Source organism: Homo sapiens, chromosome 11 (assembly GCF_000001405.40).
Source record: "Homo sapiens chromosome 11, GRCh38.p14 Primary Assembly".
Taxonomy (NCBI): Eukaryota; Metazoa; Chordata; class Mammalia; order Primates; family Hominidae; genus Homo; species Homo sapiens.
Window position 1 is genome coordinate 22,466,232 of NC_000011.10, and position 12,217 is coordinate 22,478,448.

Sequence of the window (12,217 nt, forward strand, 5' to 3'; positions counted from 1 at the left end):
AAGTCACAAGGATACAGCACTTAACACCTGTCCTGGTTGTGAGCAAGGTCTGCACTAATTCATCAAGTCCTGCAGTGAGGGATTCCACAAGAGCTGCTCATGACAAGCACAACAGAGACAAATATTTAAAACCCAAGGATTTTGGACACATTGTTTTCAATGCCTTTTGGAAAATTTTTGCAAAAAATACAGTTTTTGTTTCTTTGTTTTCCATCCATGGTTGAAAGAAAGAAATTCAAAAAAGTCTAAGGAGTTGGAGTGAAAAAGTGGCAGGCAAACCTGAAACACACTCATTTTTATGACATGTGATACTTAGACATTAGCAATTTCATAACCAGACCCAGAGTAAGACCAGAGAAAATGCTGGTAATTATATTGCCAGTAAAGTGGCCCAAAAAATGGAAATTTTTTGAATTCCACCCATGATTTTTTTACTATGATTAAAATACAATTAAAATATTAAGAAAAATTCAAAATTGCCTTGTAACTGGTTTTAGAGTGGCAGTGTTCTTCATGTAAAGCGTTATGTTTGTCAAAAACGTACACATTTGGTCTTATAGTCCTCATTGCTGATTCCTGACACTGTAAAAGGAGAACCTGGTTTTCTGAGGTGATGATATTTATAGTTCGGCATCATCAAAAAGCAATTCCTTGCTTATGTGGGATTCGAAGCCCAGCCAGGTCTCCCTTGTGACTCATTCGGCATTCATCCGGGGATCTATGCTTGCCTGCCTGTGCAGCGTTCTCATGAATCCTTAATTCCTTTTGAACTCAGTAATGCCAGAGTCACTTTCCATCAACCCGCCCACTCAGCTGAATTGCGCCAGCCTTTTGCGCAAAGCATCACACTCCTGTTGTAAGATTGATTGGGTGTTGAGCCACCGCCACAAAGACAAAGGAGGTCAGATTCAGCCCCTGCAGTTTGATTTTAAGACCTGATGTCATCATCATCCTGACTTCCAGAACTGATGCTGATACAATTTTCTGACACCTACCTATATGTAACCCATGTCTTGTTGAACTAACTTTATTAGCACTTCATCACTGATAATGCAATAACATATTAATGACGTGTTGCTCTTACCCTTTGTCTGCAAAGCAAAAGGGTTGAAACTAAAATAACATGGTGAGCCAGATCAGTCTGATGTGTAGCCAACCCTGTATCGTGGCATCTTTCTTATTCCCTGACTGCTTTTCTCTGGGATGATAGGGCAGGGATGGCTGGAGTGCTGGCCAGATGTCCAACACAGGGTACTGCTCTAGGCTCTAGGATTTTGCAACTCAGGAAACCAGCATGGCTACTCATAAGGGTCAGAATATGGGCAAGTCAGAGAGCAAGCTCAAATCTAGTCCATATGTCCATAAGTGAGCACAGAACTAAAAATGTATGACCAAGCCAAGGGATCAGGTGTAAGACAGGGAGATGGACTCAGCATAGGTGCAAGGGCAGGGGCAGGGAAGCTGGATTTCAGACAGTTATGAAGAAGAGGCTGTTGTGATGGTGGCTTTCTAAAATTGGTTACCCGCAGAGTTGCATGTATTAGGTTGGCCCAGTTTAGAAGCACAAAGTAGAGGGTTGGTAATATGCAAAATACTAGAGAGGTTGAAAACTTACTTAGATAGTATTGGATTACATGACTGAGCTCTCCCCAGTGGCTCTTTAGTACCTGGAGCTAGAGGTAAGTCAGATGTGGCCCCTGCCTGTGTTCACCATCTGCACAAGGAGACAGGAATGTAAATAAAAATATTACAACACTCCCAGGATTGCTGGGACGTAATAGTCTCATTCTACCAAGAAGGTAGTAATAATGGCTGACATTTATTGAAAACTCACTGTATACCACCAGGCACTATGTTAATTGCTTTACCTTTATTTCTCACTGTATACCACCAGGTACTATGTTAATTTCTTTACCACATTAAATTCTTACAACCATATGAGGAAGTGCTATTATTTATATTTTATAGATTAAGCAAATGGAGGCTAAAAGAATTTAAACAATAATCACCCAATGTTGCACAGCTAACTAGTGGTGAAGTCCAACTCCGACTTAGACTTTGACCTCTACATGAGTCTGTTCTGGGAGACACATTTTAAGATGGATGTTGGGAAATATAGAACTTGACAGGAGTGTTAAGAACGGTGTGGAGATGGGAATCCACAATCTATGAGCACGTCTCTCCTCAACCCCTTCCAATGAGTCGGCTGAGACTGAACATAAAGGGCTAGAGGGGGAGGTACAAACTCTGGCTTCAGGTGTGAATGATGAAAGGGTTATGGCAGACTGTTTCACTTGGTATAGAAGGAAAAGAGATTCATCTGCAGATTCCCAAACCACTTACTTGGCTCTGAGTGCCAGGTTCCTCTGGCACCTCAGCAGAATGTTGGGGTAACTGATAGATCTTGGGAAGTTCTGCTAGTGAACAACAACTACAAAGATAAGAGCATCTACATCATGTTGATTTAGGAGAAGACATTTAATAGAACTGTCCACATTTGAAGAGTTGTCATATGAAAGAGAAAAAATAAATTTGTCCCTTGTGATTCTAATGAATGCAACTGAGACCAATCATTGGAAATGATAGGAGGCAGATTGCAACTCAGTAAAAAATTATTTTTCAACAACTAAAGCTAACAAATGCAGAAGCTTGTGGTAGTGTCAGTTCTTCATCACTAGAGGTATTCACACAGAGACCATGTCACTTTCTGTCGAGAGGGGTAGTTTTCAAATTTTAGAATTCATAAGAATAATTTCTGGCATGGCAGCCAGATTCTGGCTCAGGAGGTCCTCATAAGCATCAAGAATCTCTCCTTTTAATAAGCGAACTAGAGGATTCTGATGCAGGTTAGGAGTAACAATCTGCAGATTGTAAAAGAGATAATTATTTTTAAAGGAGAAGTTAGATTCCATGATGAAGTTTCCATCCAGCTCTATGTCCAGACCATGCTGATCTATTTCTTCCCAGGGTTCCTGTTTTTTGTATAGTCTTTATCACATAATTTAATATTTTATTATATTTTGTCTCCCTCTTCTAATCATTTCCCTCATCCCACAAATATTTACTGATAATTTACCATGTGCCAAGCACCATTCTAGGCACTGGCGAGACATTATAGAGCCAAGCAGACAAAGCAGCCTGACCTTATGGAGCTGATAAGCTAGTGAAGGGAGATTTTTAAAACCCCAAATATATCAGTTATTTTATAAATTTTTCCTCCATACAACCAGATGCAAACTCTTTTGGGAAGGACTCTGTCTTATTTAGTATTTTATGTAGTGTCTAGAACAATGCTCTGCAATAACAGGTACTCAAAAGTATATTTTAAAGCAATGATGGAACAATAAAATAAGAATACACTTGGAGAAAAACAGCAAAAATTTATATTTTCTGTTATAAATGAGGCTAATCTCAATGGTTTAACTGAGGATTTCTTTGTGCTTTAGGATGGAGAATTTTTGTAAGCCAAAGGACTTTTCTCTGCATTAATAGAAAACATATCCAGAACAATTGATACAAGCTTCTCAAGTTTTGCAGGTCACAGTCTTACAGCAGTAGTGAAAAACTGAAAGACATCCAGAATACAGATGACAAGGGTTCTTGACACACTATGGTATGAGACAGTGGCCAACAAACTATTTTTTAAAGGGCCAGGTTATTCAATATTTTGGGGCTGTACACTCTCTCTCACAGCTAGTCAATTCTGCCATTCTAGTATAAAAGCAGCTTAGAAAATATGTAATTGAATGGACATGTTCTAATAAAACTTTATTTACAAAAACAGGTGAAAGGCTGGATACAGCTCTTGGATCACAGTTTGCAGACAGCTGCTATAAGATAAATAGTTCAAAGAACTGAGGTGTTTAGCTGGGTGTATTAGTTCATTCTCACATTGCTATAAAGAAATACTTGAAACTGTGTAACTTACAAAGAAAATAGGTTTAATTGGCTCATGGTGCTGCAGGCTGTGCAGGAAGCATAGCAGCATCAGCTTCTGGGAAGGTCTCAGGGAACTTACAATCATGGCGGAAGGCAGGGAAGGAGCCATGCACTTCACATGGCTGGAGCAGAAGAGAGATGTGAGGAGGTGCCACACGCTTTTAAAAACCCGGATCTCATGAGAACTCTACAGCATCAAAGCAGGAAATCTGCCCCCATGATCCAATCACCTCCTACCAGGCCCCATCTCCAACACTGGGGATTACAATTTGACATGAGACTTGGGTGAGGACATAAATCCAAACCATATCTCTTGAAGAAGACAGAAAGAGACCACCGTTACTATTTTTGGATATTTGAATGACTTTCCTGCAGAAGAAGGATTTGACCTACACTAGAAAAACGGAGGATTTATGTCTAATATTTTAATAGAATTCTCCAGGTAGTTATGAGTTTAATGAGTTTACCGATACTGGAGGTGTTCAAGCAAACATTGGATGCCCACTTCTTGAGACTGTTCCAGAGCAGGCAAGGGAGTCTGGTGAACAATTTGATTAAATGTCCTTTAAGGTCCTTTTCAACCATGGGATTCTCTCACGAATATGAAGTTTAGTGAACAGAGCAGGGCCTAACATATGCCGAGATTGACACACAGACACAGGTAAATGATACCCCAGCAATTTCACATGTTAAAATTTATCTGTGGTAAATGAATGACTGAGTGAAAAGCAATCTCTGCTAAATGTTAGGTACCCATATTAATAAGCAGGTTAAAAATAGCCAGATTAAAAACAGTTAACATCAGGTAAATATCATTTCTATTTTCAGTAAGCTTGATTTACAGTCTTTTACGATTATATCTGGGTTAAATGGATTGGTCATTCAAAAACTAAGTGGCTGTCTCTCAATCACATAGATTAAAAAGAGAGGGAAGACTCCATCCTACCTTTTAGAATTCAAAAATTTTTAATTTTTTATCTTTTGGACTTCTTGTAAAATTTCTTTTTGTGCCTTATGATGTTTTGCATTAATGAAGTTGTAAATGCTAAAACAGCACAAATTCATCCTCACCAATGGATGTGTAGATCTATAAAATTAATAAACAATGATTTATTGGGAGCCTATCGCTCCACTGAAGAAACTGAGAACCAGACAGTGCCTGAAGGTTGAACATGACAAGGAGCTAAATGGTTTAAAATTTGTGGCTATCCTTAATATGCTACCCATGTGTGCCAATGAGGCAAATCTTCAGTCAGCTTGAGCCTGGTCTCCACCTCCCAGTGGAGGGTCAGAAGGGGTGAGTGATTCCAATCAATATCCAGTTGTTAGAGTAACAGCCATGTTGGTTCTGGATGGCTGACTGGGCAAAAACATGTTTGTTCTACTTAATGTGACAGTGTCTTGTCAAATTAACAGCCATGGTGGCAGGAACAAGCTTGCTTAATGGGTTAGAGTCAGTTCCACAGAGAATCTATCATCAACATGCAGCTGAGAGGAATCCCAAACCTCATTACCAGGGTTTATTTGTAGATAATAACGGAAGGTATGCCATGTACTTACAACGCATTTGTTTGGTTTTTTTGGCAACTCAGTTTAATGGTCTTTATCAAGTGTTGCCCTTTTAACTCCCCGAAACTCTGTATGCTCATGCTTAGTCTGTGTTTAAATACACTAAGTAAAGTACAATATTTAAGCAGCTATGTTAAGATGTTGTAGCAAGATAGAATGATTATTTGAAATAACCACATATTAGATGTGCAGGGCAGTGGGGGAAAGGAAGTACTCTGGTGAGTGCTTTAACCCTGCACTTCATGGTGAATATTTAAATGTACTTTTCCTCCCTAGAGGTGAGCTGTTGTTCCAAAGCCAGAATCATAAACTGCCTGCCAGATTTCTCTCACAGTTAAATTGCATTTGGGCCATATAGTGGTTTTTAAAAATTGAAATGCTTTCTATCACTTAGAAAAAAGAAAATTTCACATGCAGTTCTAGGTGTTTCCTTTCAATGAAAAATTCAGAGAAGTCAGCAGCATAGGCCAGCTTTTCACAGGGCAGTAGTTTTCTGGAGCTGTGTGTTAGTTCATCTTCTCTAGATAGGCTGAGCATTCTCCATGGTGTCTACTGTGCCTGCTTTATTCATCTATGTGACCTAACCAGCCCCTTGAAACATTGAAATTTTCCATCTGTGATGAAAAGATTAAATCTTGATTTTCGAATCATACTCATAGATGAAAAATACAATATTATGTCATTATCATGTACAGACATTGTTAAGACACTGTTTGCTTCTTTCTTCCTCTAGTCCTCTAGTCCTCCACCAGTGCCTCCCAGTGGCCTAAACCAGCAGGAGCCATATGAAAAAGAAGTCTGGAAGTTGCTAGTCCTTCACAGGAGGATACAAGAATGGCGACGAGAAGATCTGAGGACTAAACTACGAGATTTAGGATGAACAAATCTAGGAGCCAGAAGATGTACCTGCTAGTAAACGCTATGATCTTTAAAAAGTCTTGAGCCAACGTGACCTTCGGAATTTTTCATCTGTAAAATGAAATATTGGACTAGACGGTCCCTGAAACTTCTTAAAGTCCTTGATTCTACAGTGGAATGGTTGGTACAGCTTTGATTTCATTGTCTGTTTATACCTGGCTGAATTCTCTTGTGACATGTGACTGTCCTTCTTAAGAAACTGACAGGCAACCAAGTAGCTGATTGTTGAGATATCGAAATGTTTCAGGGAATGCAGAGAATACAGCCTACCTGATATAAAGTCTGACAGCAACAACAAAAAATCTCTCTGGGCAATTTTATTTAATAATTAAAACAAAAGGTTTGGAGGCAATATTCAAATTGCCACTTTAACAAGAGAGGAACCTGTGGTGAGAATGCTTCAACAGTGATCTGGACTGGCATTAGAGCTAAAGAATCCCAGCCTGATGTGATAGTGACTCTGGCTGCTTTATGTTCCTCAGGAATCCCAGGATGTCTTTCAAACAAACAAATAAACCAAACAAACAACAACAATGAAATATTATCTTTATCACTTATCGCAGATGATTTTCCCAGAATTGTTGGCTCAAATTTTAGAAGAAATTCTAGAAACTGATTCAACATAAAATTCAAACCCGCTAGCTCTTCATTTAAATCATGGAATCACTTGTTTGCTATTGAACCACATGTTGACATTGAAGTACAGATGTTTGATGATGAATTCATTCCTCTTTGTATAACAGCAACTACATGATAAGCCAGGGAAAATATGGCAGCATCTTTTATATCTTCATTTGTTTGAAACAGATAAAAATATTTTATTTTCCTTATTCTATGTCAAGTAACCCAATAATGAGAAAATCTAAACTTACTTTTCAAGGGATTTTTAAATTTTATTAAATTTGTAAAGGTAAAGCAATAAGTTAAATTCAACACACAGTTTGAAATATATCAGTTACGGAGCCAACTGAGATGTCAATCATTTAGTAGTTCTTCTCTCTGAAAATAGAGAACATTTAGAAGCAGATCCAGAAAGTTTCATTTTAACCTCAACTGGAACCAGGAACAGGAACTGAGGTTGCTTACTAGCAGATCATGATACAGTGGACACTGACATTCTTCCAGACATTAAATCATTTGCAGTTTCTCTTTGACAGATTTAAAACCTGAGAAGTTAATTGTGGGAGCTAGTCCTGATTCACCCAAGATCAACTAGCAGTTGCAAGAACATTTTCACTCAAAAGCTTGAAAATGAATCAAGTTTACTTGTTAAGATGTCCAGCAAATAGCAAGATAAACATGGTAATATATTCAGTTTTAAATATATAAGTTTATATCAATAATATATTTAAAATAGCATACTTTAAGGCTACTAATGAAAATGTGAAGCAAAATGAAAAATGTTAGCTTGCAAGAGAAACTGATTTTATTTAATGGGTTATTTTACTTCAGTAAAATCTTGGTTATGCAAAATAATGGAAAAAAAAATCTGAGTAAGCAAAGCTTTGATATGGCTAGAAAATAAAGTATATTTTTCTTGTACTTGTAGCCTTACTGTTGAGAATTTTAAGAAATGGTGCTCCTTGTTTAAATTCAATTGGCCTTTAATGGGCACATAACACATGCTGGACATTACAGTAGGAGGCTGAAAAGAATACCATAAATAAATAACCCCCTGGCTCTCAAGGAATTCTTAGACTCAATGAATAGAGTACATTGAACACAAGAGAATATATATATATATATTTCTAGAATCCTTCAGACTTATATTCAGTTTCAGAAAAAAAAAAATCATTTTGAGTTTCAATTTCCATTGCCTTAGCCTGAAGATGGAAGTGGAGAAGAACAGAAGAAGGATCACCGGCTTTAGAAGAAGTCTTGAGGATGAAACAAAATAATGTGTGTGAATGCTCTTAGCATAATATATGCTACTTTGCAAATGTCAACAGCATTAATATTTATTTATTTATTTATTGTATCTGTCACATGGCAGACATTATTACGTTGGCTATCTCCCCAGTAAGAGCTTGTGGATGGGAAGGAAGTTGGATGTCACAGACTTTTTCTTAATTAATCAACCAAACATGTATTGTGTATCTATCAGAGTAAGACTGAACTACATAGGTTGAGTCATACAAACCAGGTTTCTCTGAGAACACATAGGAAGGATATCAAAACCAAATGTTGGGTGCCAGAAACTGATTACTTAAGGAAACCAGTATTTGAAGAATGAGGTGAACGTACCCTATGAATGAGGGTACGTTTTTAGACAGTTGTTCGCAATTTAGAGCAGTTGTTTCTATGAAACAAATGAAGGAATAGTTGGTTTCAGAAACTCAGACATCAGTCAAATTTCTTTTTTTCCCCTCTTAATATGTAACTAGTTTAATTATGCAAATAAGTGAAACAAAAACTAAATACAAATTTTAAGGTGCAGAAAAACTTTTGCTCTGTTTGTACAGAAAAATCCAACCATTTGTTTTCTGGTTAAAAATAAACAGGTGTTAGTAAGAGAGTGCACACTCCATTAGAATTCCAAATGGTAGGGAAATAGAAGAGTTTTCCTGGTGGTGTAAATTGCTTCCCCCTACAATGTCCCCCGTCTTTCAAAACTTTAGAATTTGCACTGTAACTCTTTCACCAGTCATCAGTCAAATTTCTAAGATAGACCAAAAAAACCTGCAATTATTCATAAACTGAAATAGAATCCTTCTTTTATATAAAATTTTGTCACAAACTATTGGAATGAGCTTACCTAGTATGCATTCTATATATTATAATTATTGAGAAATGGAATCTTAGTACCTGTCTGCCAGTGTTAAATGGCAACAAAGGAGCATTTATTTCATCAAAAATGTACTGAGTTTCTATTAAATTGATAGAGCTGTCAGAGGATGAGGGAATATAAAAGAGATTTCAAAGTTGTGTCTTCTCTAGGAACTTACAATCTACTGGGAAAGACATAGATACATATGCACATAACTAAGCAATTAGGTTTAAAATAGAATACGTACAAGTGTTATACAGATCAGTAAAGTATGGAACATTTAGTTTTACAATATGTTAAGGATTTAGAAGCAATAATAAAACAAACTATGAAGATAAACAGTGATAGTTTAACACTGTCTCTAATTCTCCATTTGGTTCTGGATATTTAAAATCACTTTAAAGCAGAATTGTTTGTATGCCCGGAAGTCAGAATATTGACTGTCTCTTTCCTCTTCCCGTTTGTCTTACAATACATTTTTTACCATCAAAACTTTTCTGCCTATGTTCTTGGATTTTTATAACCCAACAAAAGGATGTAAATTAGTCAGCGTTCTATAAGAATCACCTAATTTATGATCTTCAAATTTGAGACGTGGATCTTAGCTGAAGGGCTAGAGAGCATTTAAGATGTTCTTTGTATTGGATGTCATGAAAAATATATTACTTCAGAAAGAATAACAAAAACTTCAATTTCTGCTAAACCTTTCAAAGAAGAGATGTTGTGAATCTATTAAAACCTCAGTTAAAACTCTGACTCTTGTGTATGTTTCAGTTGGTTCTTATCCCATTCTCTCTTTGGTTCACACTTCACCAGCCACATTGGCTTTCCTTCTGTCCCTCAAAAAGCAGATCGTTCTTTCTTTACTCCTTAGACTCTTTATCCTGACTGTCTCCAACTCCTCCAGATCTTTGGCCAGTTAGCTACTTCTCATCATTTAGGTTTCACTCTAAACGTCACCTTTTAGAGAGATCTTGCCTGACCATCTAGCCTTTTGTGTCATTTGTTTTCAGGAACAGGTAAAAGAAAATGTGGTTCAAGTTTATGTTAAGAGCAGGAAATATGAGATCCTACAAGAGGAGATCCTGAGGTCAGGTGAGTTTCAGGTGATTGGCTTAGTACCCTAACAAGTTTGTTCCTTTTTTAACTCCAGCTTCCATATCATCATCTTCCTCCTAAAGCTGGTTCCCCCTTCGTGGTGGTAAAAATGATTTCAGGGAAAATCTGGGCCACAAGGCTCCTTGTTAATACTATAAAACTATTAATTTGTTATGGCTCTTTCATAAAAAATAATTTTTTTAAACTTTCTCAGATGCCTGCAGTAAACTGGTTTTACATTTTATTGACTGGAACTGGGTCACGTGATTATGCTTGAACCAATCATTGATAAAGTAGATGGGAATAATTTATAAATATGAGATAGGAGTCATCACCAATTGAACTGAAGTCCTTCTCCAAATCATGTATTGTTGTTATTCATCAAGAGATGATGAAGTAAGTGCTGGAGATTCAACCAAAATGTCTACATTTCCCTCAAATATAATATTATTGTCTTTTCGAGTTTTTACACTCATCACAATTTTAAGTTATATATTTATATGTGTTGTTTTGTATATATATGTATATATATAATTGTCTGCCTTGCTATCATAATAAAAACATCATAAGAGGATAATTTTTGTCTTATTTAATGATGCATTTTTACTTAGAAAAATAAAATGATGCTCAATAAAATTGCTGAATTAGAGGATGAACTGGAAACATCACATCATGACTTTCTTAGTCTCTAATAGTCTCCTGACTTCACAAGGATGAGAAACTTTGAGAAGTTATTATTAACTGACTTTTCCTTCTTATCTCCTAGAGTCTCTTACATTCCTAGGAGGCCCCAGTTACTGGTGGAGGGTTCCTAAACAACAGTAATTTTATCAGTCTTGGACACTTCTGAAGTAGGCTTTGAAGGATAAATAAAATAAGTCATTGTTTAAAAATAGAAGCACAAGAGAAGATGAAAAGGAAATACAAATTGTAGGAACACATGATGAAATTGCATGAGGTGTGCTAAGAAATGAAACCAGTCTGGTGTGACTAAATCTGGGAGCTGTAGAGTGACTGGGGCAGTAAGGCTGGGAGGGAAGCAGTGAAGCTGACCTACAGATAGTCTTTCTCAGTCATGTCTATGGTTCTGATTGGCTCTAATTTTCTGGTCACTGGTTTATTGACCTCAGCACATTTATACTTTGTTTTATATTAAGTCACCTTAAAAACCTCTTATTTATGTATACTTGATATCTCAGGTATAGTTTACCTTTTGACTTGTTTGTAAACTCATTAATAACACTCAATAGTTTTACTGTGTGTTAGAATAAAACATAACTGACCTGGATATAAGCTAAGCTTTAAGAAAGGATCTTGAGTGACTTTGTTTTTAAAACCACTTATCCTCAATTCACATGGGAAACACACGGTCATATTAGTAAGATAATACTGAATAAATGAAAGACAGAATGACTCAGAAAACCTGTCTCTTTGTTTTTTGTTTTGTTTTGTTTTGTTTGTTGTTGTTGTTGGTTTTTAATCAGGCTTCCCCTTTACTCATGTGATCATAGAAGAGTGTCGCTGAATCCTTTCAAAGTTTGATTTCCTCATTGGTCAAGTGAGGATGATAAAGCTGATGACAATTGTTGAGAGATATAAGTCAAATGAGGAAGACCCTTGGGAAAATGAAAATGCTACAGAAATGTATATAATGGGGCTGGACATTATTCTGAAATCAGAATAATAGAAGCAAAGATGAGAAGAGGAAAAGGTTAAGATTGTAAGTTTGGCGCCCAAATGGGAAAAACTAACTCACTTTTTTTTTTTTTTTTTTTTTTTTTTTGCCTATCTGGAAGATTTCAAGCTGCACATACACTCTTAAGAAACAAGTTTCACATTTCACTGTAAGAAATGGAGATAATCAGCTGAGTAAATAGTTATAAAGCTCCAAGCCCAAAGACTTCTACAATTTCAAGATTCTGTGTT

General features: G+C 36.6%; 1 long non-coding RNA gene across 1 annotated transcript in view; it reads right to left on the reverse strand.

Annotated features, from left to right (window-relative positions):
• The window catches only part of LINC01495 (long intergenic non-protein coding RNA 1495), a 46,348-nt gene that overhangs the window by 20,560 nt on the left and 13,571 nt on the right, over positions 1-12,217 (reverse strand). The window contains exon 3 of the long non-coding RNA NR_120583.1: positions 1,616-1,714. This is a non-coding gene — a long non-coding RNA (long intergenic non-protein coding RNA 1495). The remainder of the gene's footprint in view (positions 1-1,615; positions 1,715-12,217) is intronic.